A 20,373-nucleotide genomic window follows, 5' to 3' on the forward strand; every position below is an offset into this window, starting at 1 on the left:
GTCTGTGAGCCAAAATGATAGGCATATTTCCGAGTCTCCCCTGTTAGCTCACACATTAACAACCTACATCTCTCTGGAGTAAAGAACCCAGTGTGTTCTGACAAACGAGATTTGGATGTTTCTCTCTAAAATGTTGCCCAACCAGCAAACACACACACACACACACACACACACACACACACAGATATATACATAATACATATACACATAAGGGACGTACACATAAAGGGGATAATCAGAAACATTTTCAAGGCATCCTCTGTCTATGCTTTATTATGTGAATATAAACACAGCCCTTACACCTGAGGCATCATTATATCAAAAGTTTTGTTGAACTTTAGGAGTATATCATAGTAAAGGTGAAGGTGTGAGTTACACATTTGCTGCCCTTGAAACACCAGGGCTTCTCCCATGACACCTCTTCAAGGCCAGCCTTACTCTGGCTTCTGTCTTCTCTTATTTCCTACACCCTATATCAAATCTCAGGTACTATGTGGAAAGGCCTCAATCTTTCTCACCACAGTGTGGGAGGGTTGATAGAAGTATTTTTTTTCTAATCTATCAATACCAAGTTAGAATTAACTAAGAAGGAGAAGATTTTCAAGCATTTATGACAGAAGCATGATGCTCTGCCTCCTCCAAGCTCCATTTAATCCATCCAGGGCAAGACTGAGATCCACGAACTTATCACAATCCAAATACTTACGGGGTGTAATTTGCAATGTGGCCCCTGGAGAATGCATGCTCTTGTTACTACAAGAGTTTTATGTGTAGAGATCCAGCTGGTTATTAAGCCATCACCTGCCAGCTTTTTTTTTTCTGAATGCCCATCCCCAGGGCCCAGAGAAATGGAGACAGGAGGATAAACTACTTTTGTTTGTTCTGGTAGACACAGAGTCTGACTGCTGTGTATCCTGTTTCCCTTAGGGACTCTACCTTGTCCTCAGGGACAATCCGTGAAGGCTTGAGTGGAGATAACCCCACCATAAAACCTATACTGCTGGTGTTCCCAGAGAGCAGGCTGCAGTCTGCATCAGCCTATGCTAAGAAAAGAGAGACAACTCCTGCATCTGGAAATTCCTTCTCTCAGGGGCTGCTGGTGGGAGCAAGATCCTCAGCTCTGGCCTTCAAAAGCTCCTGTGATCTCTGCACAATTTCTCTAAATAGAATTATATTTCTGAGACAAGACCAGGCCTGATACCACAGTGAGTAAAGGGTCTTTTGCAAAGTCTGGTAGTTTAGAGAAGCTAGGGTCTGGATGAAGGCAGGGCTCCAGAAATCAGTACATTGAATGGGAGATACAGAGGTAATTTATTGGCAGACAGTTTCCTGGGCTAAAGGTGGAGTTAGCATTTGCAGAGGTGGAGTCATAAGCTGCACATTGAGAATGACGCATTGATCATTTAACATTTGTGTACTTCTATGAAACATCCTGGTTTCCCCTTTCTATAGCCCCTGTGGCTATGTGGTTGGGGGAATGACAAGCAGAGAAAATTTAAGAAGAGTCTGAAGACTTGATTGAAATCTAGGATATGCTCTTTGAATGTTATTCCTAACGTAATGCCTTTCATTCGTCCATCCATCCATCCATCCATCAATTCATCCAACAAGTGTAGTGGGCATTGTGCCAGCAACAGCACCTGGTAAGAACCAGGGAAGCAGCCCTGCAAAGGGGTGGGGTGAAGGCAGGAATCAGAATATTATCCTGTTAACTCTTCACATAGATAACCACTTGCCCTGGCCATATATCAGAAATGACTTCAGTGAATGCTTGCTGGATTAGTGATGGCAAACTTTCTTGGCTTGCATGCAAAGGGAAACAGCCAGATTTTCCTGAGTTGCTTCAGGAAGTAAAACATTTAATGCAAGCTTTATTTTCCCTAAAACTAGTAAACACAGGGAAGGAAACCTCTTTGAAATTGCATTTGTAAACCTCATTTCCTAATTCATGCTTTTACGTATTTTCTCTAATCATTTACTGGAGCACCTGCATGTGCAATGCACTCTGCACAAATTACAAAATAATTGAAAACCAAATATGGAAGAGAAAGTGGGGGAAAATATGCAAAGTAAATAAATTAGAAAGTAAAACACATAAGAACATGGCTGTGATCCTTACTCTAAAATAAAATGGCTAGCCATTCTGAAAAACAACTTACTCTGTGGCTGCCCTTCTGATAGCAAAAATGTGGGTCTTGCAATCCAAGTTAAGTAAAATTCTGTGGGACTGGATATAGTATACATCACCCTGTCTGCATTTACACTAGTTCTCTGAACCAAATTTATTTTCTGCTTTACTCTGGATTAAAGGATTTGGCATAATGGCTCCGAAAAACCTTGCTGACTGAGTCAGCACCCTGTGTGCACCATAAACCCCCTCCTTCTGTTAACTGACTAATCCGGATCTGCATTTGCTCCTCAGCACATAGCTCATTGCCACAGCAGAGTCCAACGCAGGTACTGTCACAAGGGCATGACAAAAAATCAGACATGGGTCACAGAATTCATTCTCCTGGGATTTCCACTCAGCCTAAGGATTCAGATGCTCCTCTCTGGGCTTTTCTCCCTGTTATACGTCTTCACCCTGCTGGGAAATGGGGCCATCCTGGGGCTCATCTGGCTGGACTCCAGACTGCACACCCCCATGTACTTCTTTCTCTCACACCTGGCCATCATTGATATTTCGTATGCTTCCAACAATGTCCCCAAGATGCTGACAAACCTTGGCTTGAACAAGAGAAAAACAATCTCCTTTGTCCCATGCACAATGCAGACCTTTTTATACATGGCTTTTGCTCACACTGAGTGTCTCATCTTGGTAATGATGTCCTACGATCGGTACATGGCTATCTGCCACCCTCTGCAATATTCTGTCATCATGAGATGGGGAGTGTGCACAGTCCTGGCTGTCACTTCTTGGGCATGTGGTTCCCTTCTGGCCCTGGTCCATGTGGTTCTCATCCTGAGGCTGCCCTTCTGTGGGCCCCATGAAATCAACCACTTCTTCTGTGAAATCCTGTCTGTCCTCAAGTTGGCCTGTGCTGACACCTGGCTCAACCAGGTGGTCATCTTTGCTGCTTCAGTGTTCATCCTGGTGGGGCCGCTCTGCCTGGTGCTGGTCTCCTACTCGCGCATCCTGGCGGCCATCTTGAGGATCCAGTCTGGGGAGGGCCGCAGAAAGGCCTTCTCCACCTGCTCCTCCCACCTTTGCATGGTGGGACTCTTCTTTGGCAGCGCCATTGTCATGTACATGGCCCCCAAGTCCCGCCACCCTGAGGAGCAGCAGAAGGTCCTTTCCCTGTTTTACAGCCTTTTCAACCCGATGCTGAACCCCTTGATCTATAGCCTGAGGAACGCAGAGGTCAAGGGTGCCCTGAAAAGAGTGTTGTGGAAACAGAGATCAAAGTGAGGGATGCCAGGGAAAGTCTAGAGGGTTGAAGATTTGCTCCCAATGAGATTTGTAGGAACAGTGGTGTAAATGCCTTACAGTCTCATCTCTTAGATTTCTGATATCAAGAATGTATATTGATTGGATTCTATCCCTAAACGTGGAGTACCATGCAGATCACAAAGCACATGCAGACAGGCGCTGAGCCGTGTGGTGCAGCAGAGGTGCAAAGTGCCATGAACTCCTACTCCCAGGTCCCACCCCTACCCAGGATCTGCTTTCTGTTCTTTTGAGGCTTAGTTCTCTCAAGCTTCCTCTTAAATTCCTCTATTATTTCCATCTCTTTTTGCCATAAGTATATGCTGGTAATCCCATACCATATGCTACTATAAGAGAGTACTTGTAATCACACAGAATAAATACTGACCTTGGTTAAGCAGCCCTCTACTGGGAATGTAACAACAACTAAGAGTATAGAAAATGCCTGGTTTGGAACCTAAAGCCTAAGGATGATGATATTAGTACTGGAAGTTCATCTAAATCACCCTAACAAATCTAATTCTGTAAAAAGCAAAGTTTAATTGTATAGATTTTTTTATATAAAAGGCAGAGAAATATCAGGATCTTTGTTTCATTTCACTTAATTCTGCACCATTTAATTAGAAAGAGTTTGGAAAGATTTTGCATTTAAAATAAATATGAGAGAATGTTATTAGGGATAGTTACCTTTTTCATAATTCAGATCGCAAAGCCGGGTGTAGGTGACAATTTATCATTACGGTGATTACATAAAATATTGTAGTAGTAAGAAAATACTGCAAAGGAAGAAAGCATCAAGGGAAACTGACAGCTTGATGTAACATCATAGACCACCGCTTAGAACCAAGAACATGTCAAGTCTTGATAAAGACTTTCAGGAACCTCAACAAAATTCCAAAGAGAAGCTATTCCAGGTGACATAAATCACTTTTCCTGGACCCAAGTGGTCAGAATGACATGGACAGGTAATTTGTTTTATTTTAACACAAGTCTGAGTCCTAAATGATCAGCATAATATGATAATATGATTTCTTTAACACATTGAGTATGGTACCTTTTGGAATTCTCTCTTTTTTCTCTCAACCCTTGTAGTATTGTGTGAATTCAACTGTATGACCCATGATGTTATTACATTATCTGCTGCCTGTACCTTTTCTATTTTTACAATTTTAAAATATATTCTTATCACTTCATATATTTCTTCTTCCATGAAAGAAAGAAGCAAAGGGGGAACTCTTTCCTCCCACCCCCTCTCCAAATGCACTGTTTTCTTTTCAGTTCTCAAAAAGCCTAGTTGCTGACTATTCTGCTCATCCATTCATCTCGGTTAAACATTCTGCCTCTGGTGATGGTCTTTGTTTTCATATCTCCATACTGTGAGGACATTTTTTGGCCTGCAGAAATTCACAAACCTTGCTCTGCCCCTCCCAAAGAGAGCAATTTGAATTTAAAAAAAAATACTGGATCTAAATTTAACTATCAACCACTATGGAATTATTGTGTGCACTACTCTGAAGCTAGAAAGAGAAAACAGGCAGTATTTTCATATAGAAAGGACTTTCTAACTATATCTGAAAAAAATTATTACATTCCCTAAAATATGTATACTTCATGTTCTGCTTAAAACCTTTAAAAGAAAAGGGAAAGAGGAAACATATAGAATAGTTCATCTCATATAAAACATAAGCAATAGATTTGGATTCAGAATTTTTTTACCTAGGGTACAGTGGAAAAATCAGGGGGTATAATTCATCCTATGTCAGTTCTAAGTGATTGGGAAAGAATAGACCAAAAAGACTACATTTCTACAGAAAGTGACAAATATAGATAAATTATAAAGAAATGTTCTCTAGCAGGTCTTAATAGTGGCTCTAATTTTATATATATATATATATTGAATACATTACAGAAAATACCTGAGTATATGAAAAATTTCTATTAATTGTTTCCATATTTGAGTTGTAGGATTTTAACAAACTAATTAAATGTTGGTGTTATGACCGCTTTATATATACATATTTTCAACATTAATCAGTTTTTAAAGGTCTGGGGGAAAGTGAAAGAAACAATTGCATTGTTTTAGGCTGCAAGTTCTACTGACTGCTTCACAAATGTTACCCCGTTTATCTTGCATAAACATCACAATGGAGTCGCTATTATTTTCTCCACTTAATAGATAAGTAAACAAAGTTCAGAATGATTTAATAACTTATCCTATACTATGCAACCAGTAATAGAACTGAGTGTTATGGATCGTACTGATTGCAAACCCAAGCTGCTTCTTAGCAGCTTTCTGCCCAAAACATTACAAATTTTAGCTCAACAGGGGTTAGACTCAACATCCACATGATGGGGCAGAGTCTGGAACAAAACGGAGTTTACAGTATTATAGCCAAAGTCTTAACACCAGAAAGAATACATCCTGTAGCCAACCCATCTTTGGAGGATTCATTACCACCTTTGGGAAGAGTAGAAACACTCACATTAGCAGCATCATCATTTTCCAATAGTAACTCCCTCCTAATGCCTGTCTGCAAAATCACATGGCCTCATAAGGCATTGCCCCAAAGGGACAATCTGAACGAGAGACACCCTGCTGTTCTCAGTGATCATCTTACCTATGATTCTGGTCTTCTTTCTATCATTAGGTGTACCCACCTGTGTTCTTTACCTTTATGATGTGATTAATGCTTTTCCAGGAAGTGTCCCCATCTCTCCTGTGTACAGATCCGTGATGGACCTACCTTACCAGTGCTCTAGGCTGCTAGGACTGAGAAAGGGGGAACCCAGCACAGGTGCAAGCTGAGATGCTTGCTATGTTAGATTCACATCTCAATTGTGCTACAACTTGCTAAATAGGTCTGCTTCTAGGAATAATATAGCCTCCTCAATCCTGAGTTTTATTTTAGGTCAGATGTGGCTAACAAGGTTTCAGCTAGGTGCCTTATATAACTTTTATGAATGCTAAATGAAAGACTTTATGTGACTCTGATTTGAAGTGATGTATTTTTGTGAGAAGGATATAAGGACAATGAAAATGAAAAATGATTACATAGTAAGACTAAGAGCTGGTAAAATTCATGACTAAACAACTATAAAACTACAAAATCCAATTTTATTTTAATGATTCATAAATTATTATGATACTTACTGAACAATGGAAGTTTCTCAAAAAATCTCAGCTCTTTGTGTTTGCAACTTTCTGTGCCTGTCTTTGTTTTTATTTGGTTGGTGATATTGGGGAAGGTCTCCACCAAAGGAGGTTGAAGGTTAGTACACAGGAGGTTGGGTATGAAATGGTGTTCATTGTTCCTGCTAGTAGACAAAACTGTAAGAAGAATCCTACATAAAATTTTACATTCTCTATATAGCTTCAATTCGAAAAGGATTCTTGAGATAGCATCCAGATAGGAAATATATACAAAAATAATTAGTCCATAGCTTTGTTACGTTCATTCTCCTACCCACACACTAAGAATTCTCATCAACTGTGTATCTAGAATAGCTCCTCTAGGAAATCTCAGTCTCTGTATGTAGAGATAGAAACTCACCCTGGTGACACCTTGTTAGTTGGCTGAAATTTTGGCACTCATAGTAGCCAACTCCTTATATTGGTCTCCCTGGCCTTACTATTGCCCTGGATACTAATCATATTAGGAAAGAAATATATAGATGAGCAAATAAATGAGTGCATAGCCATAAATAATTTTTGAAATGACTGTGTTTCCATAGCCCGGAAAAAAGGAGGAATAAAGCAAACAGGATAATTGTCTTCATATGTCCCATCGAGAATCTTGCAGGAGGCAAACATAGTTGTTTATTGCCTTCCACAAAGTGGGGAAAAATACCCTAGAATCAAAAAGTAGGTTTACATAAAAGTGGAATTAACATCAATATGAGAAAATATTTTTGAACATTATAAGTTATGCAACAATGAGGTCTTGTGAATTATTGTGCAGCCTTACTATAAATAGAAACATAAAGGTTGAGTAAAATATAAATACGTTGAACAGGCATTTGCAATAGAGTCTTTCCAATGTCTCTTCAATCTTGAAAATTTAAGATTTCATAATAAACTTTTTCATCTTTTTAATGAGGGGCGGAGTTTAACCTGATTTTAAACAAACTTACAGTCATTTAAAGATTTTTAAATGGTAATTCTAAGATAATCTTTTTTCTGTCAAAATCCCGTCTTGTTCTTCCGAGGATTCAGCAGAGTCATCAAAAGAAAATATTCAAGTAGGAAAAAATTGTTGTATAAGCTTCATACTTGTGGTTCTCATACTTTTATTCCCACAATGCCATCACAACTTTATTTCTAGATATACATGGTTTCACATTTTAAAATATTAGCCTGATATTCAGTGATAGTGGCTCAATGACTTTTGCCTTAAACACAGGCACAGGGGCTTGCACATGTAATCCCAAAAACTGAAGAGATTGAGGTGGGAGGATCGCTTGAGCCCCGTAGTTTGAGGCTGCAGTGAGCTATGACCATGCTACTGCATTCCAGCCTGGGCAACAGAGTGGGACCCCATCTTTGAAAAAACAAACAAACAAACAAACAAAAAACCCCACAGAGCAGTGACAGATTAAACCACAAGGAGAGGAAATGAAAAAGACAAAATTAGCCCCCAAGGCAAGATAAACATCTCTGTGGATCAGAAACAAAACATAAAATCAGATGTGTGAGTGATGCAGAAGCCACGGGTTAGCCGACTGTTTGTAAGCTGGCCTGAGTGGAGATAGCTTTGCTCTTAGGAACTAAATATATTAAAGTTCTTCATGCAATAATGGGGAACTGAGGCTTAGCACCTTCCTTGAAAATAAGGTATGGAGGAGGGTGGGAGGGACTGACTTCCTTTGCTTACTAATGAAGACCAAAAAATGTACTGTGCTGTACTGCTTCCCTATGTAGCTAGCTGAAGACTTGTGAGAACCCAGGCCCTGCGCTGCAACCAAATGTGGAATCCAGACACCCACTCTGGGTGCTGGGATTCCCAATATACTCAGTCTCACTATAGGTACATAATTCTAAACCATTTACGTAAGATCCAGGTCTGGATAGGAAGCCCAAAGAGCTGGGCCAAGACAACCCCTGAGCTTCTAGATGAGAGAAGAGGGAGGGAGAGAGACAGACAGAGAGAAATGGAGAGAGAACTGGGTTTTTAAATCTATTTTCAGAAGCTGCCAAGAGAAGCAGCCCAAAATATCAACAACTGGAAAATAAATTCACTTCTGATGATGTCCCTTGTGCATGTTCAGGAATGAACAATTGATAAATATTTATGTTTATGTTTAAATGCATAAAAGATTTCTTAAAGATATGCTAACTATTTTAGATGGCCAGGGATTAAGACGGAAAATAATTAGAAAATAACAGATGGATCCCAAAAGATAACAATTACAGAGCTTAGAAATAAAACACGCATTCCCTGAAATAAGGACTAACTCTTGTTTTTTTTTTTTTTTTTTTTGAGACGGAGTCTCGCTCTGTCGCCCAGGCTGGAGTGCAGTGGCACAATCTCGGTTCACTGCAAGCTCTGCCTCCTGGTTTCATGCCATTCTCCTGCCTCAGCCTCCCGAGTAGCTGGGACTACAGGCGTCTGCCACCATGCCCGGCTAATTTTTTGCATTTTTAGTAGAGACGGGGTTTCACTGTGTTAGCCAGGATGGTCTCGATCTGCTGACCTCGTGATCCACCCACCTCGGCCTCCCAAAGTGCTGGGATTACAGGCGTGAGCCACCGCGCCCGGCCAACTCTTCTTAAATATGAAAAAAATTCAACTAACAGGATAAATTCTAGATGGAGTACATTATGGGAAAAAATGTGAAATAGAACATGGAATGCATAATTTTCCCAAAATGCAACAGAGACTATTTTTTAAGAAAATGGAATAAAAAGCACATAGAATCTAGACTCAGATATAATATCTATTTATTTTATAAGGACGTAAAAATAATGATGAAAATAGGATAGGACATTATTGCTGAAATTTTTTTCCTGATGGCTAAACACATGAATTCTCAGAACAAAAGATACTCTGAGTATCAAGCTACATGAATAAAAATAAATTAATATCTAGACATATCATAATGAAAGCACAGAACATTAAGGAGGAAAAGAAAATAATAAAACCTTCAGAGAATAAAAGAATAGCTACAAAAGAATAACAAATAATAGTGGACTTCCCCTCAGCAAAACAGATGCCAAAAGAGAATATTCAAAAGGATTAGGAAAACTGTTACTCTACAATTTCACACACAGTTAAACTGTAATTCAAGAAAAAGAGAAAAATGAAAATGTTTTCAAACAAAGTCTAAGGAAAATTACCTCCCTTAGGTCTTCAACAGAATTATTAATAAATATATTGGATAGAAAAAAAGATGAAAACAGAATAAAAGTATATAGGGTACATGCGAAGCATACGAGTTGATAAAGAATAATAGTAAATATAATTGTTGAATGTAAACAAAATAGCTTTTTATATGAAATAATAAAAGCTCTTAGCAGCTGTAACAGGTTGATGTAAATAATACCAATGAATAATTAAATCACGGTAAAGCTCTTGACTTGACTAGAAAGGTGAAAATGCTGAATAATTGTAGATTGCATTAGAAAAATTTATAATTTAGTGTGTGTTAAAAATTCAAAAGTAGATCACATTTGCCATCTTTGAGCCCCCCACCTCTGCTGCAGTTGTAGCAGGCAATACGTCTGTCATCCACTCCTCAGTGGCTTCACCAGCCTTTCAGCCAGATACAAGGCTGTTGTCCTAGTGATTACAGCCACATGAGTCACTGGTCAGCTCAGCGGCTATCCCGACCTGCTGCCTGACTCCCATAATCTTCACCCATTTATGAGTGAGAACATGCAATATTTGTCTTTCTGTGCCTGGCTTGTTTCACTTAAGATAATGATCTCTAGTTTCATCCATCTTGTTGTAAAATACATAATTTCATAGTTTTTTAATGGCTGAATAGTATTCCATTACATATGTATAATACTTTTTTTTATACTTTCATTTATTGATGGACACATGTTGTATTAGTCTGTTCTCATGCTGCTAATAAAGACATACCTGAGACTGGGCAATTTATTTTTAAAACAGGGTTTAGTTGACTCACAGTTCAGCATGGCTGAGGAGGCCTCAGGAAACTTACAATCATGGCGGAAGTGGAAGCAAACACATCCTTCTTCACACGGTGGCCAGAAGAACTGCCAAGCAAAGCAGGGAAAGCCTTTTAAAAAACCATCAGATCAGCCTGGCATGGTGACTCACACCTGTAATCCCAGCACTTTGGGAGGCCGAGGTGGGTGGATCGCGAGATCAGGAGTTCAAGACAAGCCTGGCCAATATGGTGAAACCCCATCTCTTCTAAAATACAAAAATTACCGGGCATGGTGGCACGTGCTTGTAGTCCCAGCTACCTGGGAGGCTGAGGCAGAAGAATCGCTTGAACCCAGGAGGCGGAGGTTGCAGTGAGCCGAGATTGCACCACTGCACTCCAGCCTGGGTGACAGAGAGAGACAGACTGTCTCAAAAATAAAAAAATAGCATAAAATAAATAAAAATCAGATCTCGTAAGAATTCACTCACTATTATGAGAACAGCAGCATGGGAGTAACCACCCCCATGATTCAATTACCTCCCACCAGGTCCCTCCCACGACAGAGGGGATTATAGGAACTACAATTCATGATGAGACTTGGGTGGGGACACAGCCAAACCATAACATTTCACCCTTGGCTCCTTCCAAATCTCATGACCTCACATTTCAAAACCAGTTGGCCTTTCCAATAGTCCCCCAAAGTCTTAGCTTATTCTAGCACTAACCCAAAAGTCCAAGTCCAAAGCCTCATCTAAGACAAGGCAAGTTTCTTCTGCCTATGAGCCTATAAAAATCAAAAGCAAGTTAGTTATTAATACTTCCTAGATACAATGAAGGTACATGGATTGGGTAAATACACTCATTCCAAATGGGAGAAATGGGCCAAAACAAAGGGGCTACAGGTCCCATGCAAGTCTAAAATCCAATATGGCAGTCGTTAAACCTTAAAGTTCCAAAATTATTTTCTTTGACTCCATGTCTCACATCCAGGTCACGCTCATGCAAGAGATGGGCTCCCATGGCCTTAGGAAGCTCTGCCCCTGTGGCTTTGCAGGGTACAGCCCTCCAACTCAGCTGTTTTCATGGAGGCTTTGGGTGTCTGTGACTTTCCCAGGCACAAGGTGCAAGCTGTCAGAGATGAGGCACTTGTCGGGGACTGGACTAAACGTGACTCTTGCTATGCTTTATCAAAGAGACTGGTGGCATTTTGCCCCTGCCCTAGAGATCTGTGGAACTCTGAACTTGAGAGTGATGATTTAGGGTATCTGGCAGAAGAAATTTCTAAGCAGCAAAGCATTTAAGATGTGATGTGGGTGCTGTTAAAAGCATTCAGTTTTATGTATTCACAAGGATATGGTTTGGAATTGGAACTTATGTTTAAAAGGGAAAGAGAGCATAAAAGTTCAGAAAATTTGCAGTATGACAATCCAATAGAAAAGGAAAACCCATTTTTCTGGTGAGAAATTCAAGCCCACTGCAGAAATTTGCGTAAGTGACAAGGAACCAAATGTTAATCACCATTTGGGGATTATGTCTCCAGGGCAGTGAGAGGTCTTAATGGCAGCCACTCCCATCATAATCCCAGAGGCCTAGGAGAAAAAAAAAGTTTCCTGGGCCAGGCCCAGGGCCTTGCTGCTTTCTTCAGTCTTGGGACTTGGTGTCCCACTTCCCAACCATGGCTAAAAGGGGCATACACAGAGTTCAAGCTATTGCTTCAGAGGGTATAAGCTCCAAGCTTTGGTGGCTTACATGTAGTGTTGAGCCTGTGGGTGCACAGAAGTCAAGAACTGAGGTTTGAGAACATCCACCTAGATTTCAGAGGATGTATGGAAATGCCTGGATGTCCAGGCAGAGGTGTGCTGCAGGGGCAGATCCCTCATGGAGAACCTCTGCTAAGGCAGTGTGGAAGGGAAATGTGGGGTTCAAGCCCTAATACAGAGGCCTCATTGGGGCACTGCCTACTGAAGTTCCTCCAGAACCCAGAATGGTAGATCCACAGAGAGCTTGCACCATGTGCCTGGAAAAGCCACAGACACTCAATGCCAGCACATGAATGCACCCAGGAGAGGGGCTGTACCCTGCAAAACCACAGGGTCAGAGCTGTCTGAGACCATGGGAACCCACCCCTTGCATCAATGTGACCTGGATATGAGACATAGAGTCAAAGGAAATCATTTCAGAGCTTTAAGATTTGACTGCCCTGCTGTTGTGGGAAGTCAGGAACACCAAACAGATGGACCAGCTGAAGCCATCTCAAAAGAACATAAATTGTGAAGATTTCATGGACATTTATTAGTTCTCCAAAATTAATAATTTTGTAATTTCTTATGCCTGTCTTTACTGCAATCTCTGAACATAAATTGTGAAGATTTCATGGACACTTATCACTTACCCAATCAATACCCTTGTGATTTCCTATGCCTGTCTTTACTTTAATCTCTTAATCCTGTCATCTCGTAAACTGAGGAGGATGTATGTCGCCTCAGGACCCTGTGATGATTGCATTAACTGCAAAAATTGCTTGTAGAGCATGTGTGTTTGAACAATATGAAATCTGGGCACCTTGAAAAAAGAACAGGATAACAGCAATGTTCAGGGAACAACAGAGATAACATTAAACTCTGACCACCGGAGAGCCGGGCAGAACAGAGCCATATTTCTCTTCTTTCAAAAGCAAATGGGAGAAATATCACTGAATTCTTTTTCTCAGCAAGGAACATCCCTGAGAAAGAGAATGTGTCCCTGAGGGTAGGCCTCTAAAATGGCCCCCTTGGGTGCGGCCATCTTCTATGGTCAAAACTGTAGGGAAGAAATAAGCCCCAGTCTCCCATAGCACTCCCAGGCTTATTAGGATGAGGAGATTCCCGCCTAATAAATTTTGGTCTGACCGGTTGTCTGCTCTCAAACCCTGTCTCCTGATAAGATGTTATCAATGACAATGCATGCCCAAAACTTCATTAGCAATTTTAATTTCGCCCTGGTCCTGTGGTCCTGTGATCTCGCCCTGCCTCCATTCGCCTTGTGATATTCTATTACCTTGTAAAGCATGAGATCTCTATGACCCACACCCTATTCATACACTCCCTCCTCTTTTGAAAATCACTAATAAAAACTTGCTGGTTTTACGGCTCAAGGGGCATCACAGAACCTACCGACATGTGATGTCTCCCCCAGACGCCCAGCTTTAAAATTTCTCTCTTTTGTACTCTGTCCCTTTATTTCTCAACCCAGCTGATGCTTAGGGAAAATAGAAAAGAACCTACGTGACTATCAGGGGCAGATTCCCCGATACCCTGCTAGAGTTTGGACTTGCATGGGGCTTGTAGCCCCTTTGTTTTGGCCAATTTCTCCCATTTGGAATGGTTGTATTTACCCAATGCCTGTACCCCCATTGTATCTAGGAAGTAACTAACTCACTTTTGATTTTACAGGCTCATAGGCAGAAGGGATTTACCTTGTCTCAGATGAGACTTTGGACCGTGGACCTTTGAATTAATGCTGAAATAAGACTTTGGGGGACTGTTGGAAAGGCATGATTGGTTTTGAAATGTGAAGACATGAGATTTGGGAGGGGCTGGGGAAGAATAATAGGGTTTGGCTGTGTCCCCACCCAAGTCTCACCTTGAATTGTAATAATCCCCACATGTCAAGAATGGTGGCAGGTGGAGATAATTGAATCATGGGGCAGTTTCCCCCATAGTGTTCTCATGGTAGTGAGTAAGTCTCAGGAGATCTGATGGTTTTATACATGGGGGTTTCCCCTGCACACTCTCTTGCTCTCTTGCCAGCCACCACGTAAGATGTGCCTTTGCTCTTCCTTCACTTTCTGCCATGATTGTGAGGCCTCCCCAGCCATGTGGAACTGTGATCCATTAAACCTCTTTCCTTTATAAATTACCCAGTCTCAGGTATGTTTTTATTAGCAGTGTAAGAACCGATGAAAACACCCACATTATTCTGTCTTCTGAGCTATTCAAACTGTTGCAACCTCTGCCTGTTACCCAATTCCAAAGTCACTTCCACATTTTTGGGTATCCTTATAGCAGTGTCCCACTCTCTGCTGCACCAATTTACATGTTGGTACCATATCTTTGCTATTGTGAATAGTGCTGTGACAAACATGAATGCAGTAATCTTTTTGATACATTAATTTATTTTCTTTCAGGTAGATACCCAGTATTGGGATTGCTGGATTGAATAATAGTTTTGTTTTTAGTTGTTTAAGAAATCTTAAAGGTTGGGAAGTTTAAAGTTCAAGGCATTAGAGTATCTTTATGCACTGGTGACATTGCACCTTTAAATTTCTGGTACCACAGTGGGTAACACCAGACTGGCTGGCCTAAATTCCATTCTGCATTCTTGGAGTGAGCTATGGAGATACTGACCTTGAATTCACACAGTTTGCTCACAGGCTCAGAATGCTCCACTCCTACTCCATCACTGAGGGCTCAGAATTTTTTAATGACATAGTTGTCCCTTCAATGTAAGATATCCAAATTATAGATTACACAGGAAAATATGGAATATTTTATTAATATACATGTAAAATGAGTCAAAGTAACTCCCGAGAAGATATATCCCTTATTTTGTTTAATGAAGGAAATGACCAATAGAAATTACCGTAAACCCAGAGAATAAGAAAGCAATTTTAAAAACATGTACCTGGAAAGCTCTGTCTGTATCTGGAGATCAGGTTTGCTTAGATACTCAAAGTGCAATTAAAGTGGTTTGAAAATTCAAAGCAGCTTTAGAGTACCATTATAGGAGCACTGGAAAAATAAAATGATATAAAAGAAAATTAGTAAGCTAGACAAAGGGAGACACTTCCTTACGAGAAAGCTTAATATCTTAGAAGAAGGATTCGGTAAATACAAAAGAGGAAAAAAGTGGTGCCCATGGTAATGGTTCTTAAAGTTTTCGTTTTTAAAAAGAGATGTTTTTGTCATTGGTGGAACTGAAAAGGTAACGGGTAATCAAAGAGCAATTTGAGTGAAAGAGGCATGATCTTAGTGAGCAAATTAAAGTGCTGCCTCAGAAAGTGATATGATCCAGAAATTAGTAGATGGTGAAAAACACCTCCTGTATAGAAGGTCTATGATAACATCAGCCAGAAGTGCATACTGTGAGTCCTCTAGAGGTGGATACAATGAATATTAGGATTTTGTGTCAATTAAAAGGTAGCGACATCTTAGTATGTGGAAAGGCTAGTTGCATCATACCTAACTAAATCATAAAGTTGTTATTGTTTAGATGTTTAAATGTATATAAAAGTGTGTTTATAAATGCCAAGCTGCCAAAGGGGGATACTGTACTAATTCCTAAGTTACTGTCTTTCTGCTCCAAACTCATCCTTCCACTCTATGCTTAGTGGTAGCTGAAAGTCCCCAAATTACCTTTGCCTTTTGCCCGGATGACTTCCATTTAGGTTCTACCAATAGGGGGCGCTAGAGGAAACTGGGAGCGTTGAGAGGGCAAAAGAAACTTGCTCCTCCTACCTGTGTGCTTGCTGCTCTTTTTGGTGTTACCTCAACTCTTCACTTGGGCAGTTCCCAGAGTCAGCCTCATCACTCCCAACCTGGGGCCATAGTTTTAGTGGGGTTTGTGGGGGGCACTTTCTCCTCAGAGGTTGAAGTTCCCACACCGTCTCTCCTCTGAATCTGTAAATTGTAATCACTCTAACCTCTGTTCTTTCCTGACTCTGTCCTGTCTGTTCGTCTGAGAGCTTCTTTGTTGCTGCTTTCCTTCTTCAATGTTCATTTAACCACGTATTTATCTAAATTCTCCGTTGAAGTACCAGAGTGCTTTGTTTTCCTGGTGGATTCCTGCTGGTTCAAAAACAAGTTAGAAAAACATTTAGAAATTCGGGACAATTATTCAAGTAATTATAAAAAAAAATCTGGCCATGTATGGGAGTTTACAAACAGCATTAACATAAAATATTTTTTATCTGGTGTGTTGCAAAGCAATCTAGTTATTATAGTTTGGTGTATGCATTACTTGCATGCTGAATGAACATGCCAAAGAAATTTAGGAATTGACTGCCAAGCAAAGGCAAAATGATGATGAGCCAAAAAAGTGGGAGCCAGGGTTGACAATCTTATACCACCTCTTTATTAAACTAGCAGAGGGAGAGAACAAATATAAAAGCTAAGTAACAGGATGCTAAACACAAAACACAAATAATAGAAAGCCCAAATATCTCAATATTTACACTGAGAGAAAATTGATTATATTTTCCCATTTTCATATTGTATTGTATTTCATATTTTTAAGCCCATAAAATACAGTTATATATTATTTGTAAGACTAGCTAAAACACAATCACAAAGAAAGTCTGGGAATATGAGAATGAAGAACACAGCCTATGCAAATATTTAATAAGTTGATGCGGCAATATAAATACAAGCTGGATGTTTGCACTCATGTTTATATCAGGCAAATGCACTAATTGGTATGAAGAGTACTCCATAATAATAGAGGTAAAACTCTATCAAGAATATGTAACAATCATAAATATGTATATACAACAATATAACCTTAATGTAGAAATAGGAAAAAAAATAGAATTACACTGAAAAGATTACCAACTCAACTTCTTAGTGGGGGAATTAGAAAAATGCTCTCAGAAAATAATAGATAATCCTGACAAAAATTGGAAATAAAAACTACAAAAAATTTACATGCTTGATCAAACAGATATATAAAGATTCCTACATTCCCTAAAATAAAGCATATACATTAAAGTCAATATAACAATTGCAAAAAGTGAATATATACAAAACAAAAAAACCCCTCATATTTTCAAAGAATCAGTATCACAAGGATTCATTCTCTTACCACAGGTGATAATAAATGTAAAATTAACAACAGAAATGTAACAAAAATATTTGGAAACCTAAAAATGCACTTCTTCATAATTTGTCCTTTGAAGATGAAATCAACCATAATGAAAGTTCTAAATGTCAGACTTAAAATGTATGGCTAAAATGGTGGGGGAAAATAAATTTACAGCTAAAATTACATTTATTTTAAAAGTAAGATTTATAATAAGTTAAATATTCAACTCAGAAATATACAATGACCAAAAATTAAAATAAAAATAGTATATAATTTATATAAGAGCAAACGTTATTGGAAAAATAAAGAATGATAAACATTATTAAAATAGAATCTTAGTTCCTTTTTCAAAAAATACTAATAAAATAGACTGATCAGAAAAAAAGGGGAAAAGATGTGTATATAGAATATTAGGTACAAAAAGTTATAAAAACAAGATGTAGATTTTTTAAATGACAATAGAATGTTATAAGCAAAACTTATTTCAATAAATTTAAAAGATTTGAAGATATTCCAGTTCTCAGAGGGAATGCTTTCAACTTTTTCCCATTCAATATTATGTTGGCTGTGGGTTTGTCATAGATGGCCTTTTTTACATTAAGGTATGTCCCTTGTATGCCAATTTTGCTGACAGTTTTAATCATAAAGGGATGCTGGATTTTGTCATATGCTTTTTCTGCATCTATTGAGATCATGTGATTTTTGTTTTTAACTCTGTTTATCTGGTGTATCACATTTATTGACTTGCATATGTTAAACTGACCCTGCATCCCTGATATGAAACCCACTTAATCATGGTGGATTATCTTATTGATATGTTGTTGTATTCGTTTAGCTAGTATTTTGTTAAGGATTTTAGCATCTATGTTCATCAAGGATCTCGGTCTGTAGTTTTCTTTTTTGGTTATGTCCTTTCCTAGTTTGGGTATTAGGATGATGCTGGCTTCATAGAATGAATTAGGGAGGGTTCCTTCCTTCTTTACCTTGTGGAATAGTGTCAAAAGGATGGGTACTAATTCTTCTTTGAATGTCTAGTAGAATTCTGCTGTGAATCCATCTGGTCCTGGACTTTTTCTTGTTGGTAATTTTTAAATTACCATTTCAACCTTGCTGCTTGTTATTGGTCTGTCACTCTCACCACCCCTCTTCAACGTAGTACCGGAAGTCCTAGCCAGAGCAATCAGACAAGAGAAAGAAATAAAGGGCATCCAAATTGATAAAGAGGAAGTCAAACTGTCACGGTTTGCTGACTATATGATTGTTTACCTTGAAAACCGTAAAGACTCCTCCAGAAAGCTCCTTGAACTGATAAAAGAATTCAGCAAATTCTCTTTGGATACAAGATTAATGAACACAAATCAGTAGCCCTTCTATAGACCAACAGTGACCAAACAGAGAATCAGATGAAAAGCTCAGCCCCTTTTACAATAGCTGCAAAAAATAAAATAAAATACTTAGGAATATACGTAACCAAGGAGGCAAAAGACCTTTACAAGGAAAACTACAAAATACTGCTGAAAGAAATCATAGATGACACAAACAAATGAAACACATCCCATGTTCATGGATGGGTAGAATCAATATTGTGAAAATCACCATCCTGCCAAAAGCAATCTACAAATTCAGTGCAATTCCCATGAAAATACCACCATCATTTTTCACAGAATTAGAAAAAAAAATTATAAAGTTCATATGGAACCAAAAAAGAGTCCACATAGCCAAAGCAAGACTAAGCAAAAAGAATAAATCTGAAGCCATCACACTACCTGATTTCAAACTACATTATAAGGCCTTAGTCACCAAAACAGCATGGTACTGGTATAAAAATGGGCACATAGACCAGTGGAACAGAATAGAGAACCCAGAAATAAACCCAAATGCTTACAGCCAACTGATCTTCAACCAAGCAAACAAAAACATAAAGTGGGGAAAGGACACCCTTTTCAACAAATGGTGCTGGGATAATTGGCTAGCCACACGTAGTATAATGAAACTGGATACTCATCACTTATACAAAAAATCAACACAAGATAGATTAAGGACTTAAATCTAAGACCTGAAACTGTAAAAATTCTAGAAGAAAACATTGGAAAACCCTTCTAGACATTATCTTATGCAAAGATTTCATGACCAAAAACCCAAAAGTAAATGCAATAAAAACAAAGGTAAATATTTGGACTTAATCAAACTAAAGAGCTTTTGCATGGCAAAAGAAACAGTCAGCAGAGTAAACAGACAACCCACAGAGTGGGAGAAAATCTTCACAATCTATACATCTGACAGAGGACAAATATTCAGAATCTACAACAAACTCAAACAAATCAGTAAGAAAAAACACACAATTCCATCAAAAAGTGGGATAAGAACATGAATAGACAAGTCTCAAAAGAAGACATACAAATCGCCAACAAACGTGAAAAAATCTTCAACATCACTAATGATCAGGGAACTGCAAATCAAAACCACAATGTGATACCACCTTACTCCTGCAAGACTGGCTATAATAAAAAACTCAAAAAACAGTAGATGTTGGCATGGATGCGGTGACCAAGGAACACTTCTACACTGCTGTGAATGTAAACTAGTACAGCCACTATGGAAAACAAGTGTGGAGATTCCTTAAAGAACTAAAAGTAGAACTACCATTTGATCCAGCAATCCCATTACTGGGTATCTGCCCAGAGGAAAAGAGGTCATTATATGTAAAAGATACTTGCATATGCATGTTTACAGCAACATAGTTTGCAATTGCAAAATCGTGGAACCAACACAAATGCCCATCAATCAACGAGTGGATCAAGAAACTGTGTGTGTGTGTGTGTGTGTGTGTGTGTGTGTGTGTGTGTGTGCATATAAAATAGAATACTACTCAGCCATAAAAAGAAATGAATTAACGGCATTTGCAGTGACTTGGATGAAATTGGAAACTATTAATCTGATTGAGGTAACTCAGGAATGGAAAACTAAACATTTTATGTTCTCACTGATATATGGGA

General features: G+C 39.0%; 1 protein-coding gene across 1 annotated transcript; it reads left to right on the top strand.

The window, feature by feature from the left end:
* Positions 1-1,019: 1,019 nt before the first annotated feature.
* OR2A5 (olfactory receptor family 2 subfamily A member 5) lies at positions 1,020-10,917 on the top strand. The gene is made up of 2 exons (NM_012365.2): positions 1,020-1,205; positions 2,423-10,917. The coding sequence occupies exon 2, from the start codon at positions 2,474-2,476 to the stop codon at positions 3,407-3,409; it is 936 nt and encodes a 311-aa protein (NP_036497.1). The 5' UTR covers positions 1,020-1,205; positions 2,423-2,473; the 3' UTR covers positions 3,410-10,917.
* The last annotated feature ends 9,456 nt before the right edge of the window (positions 10,918-20,373 follow it).

Source organism: Homo sapiens, chromosome 7, assembly GCF_000001405.40.
Source record: "Homo sapiens chromosome 7, GRCh38.p14 Primary Assembly".
In the NCBI taxonomy this organism is placed as follows: Eukaryota; Metazoa; Chordata; class Mammalia; order Primates; family Hominidae; genus Homo; species Homo sapiens.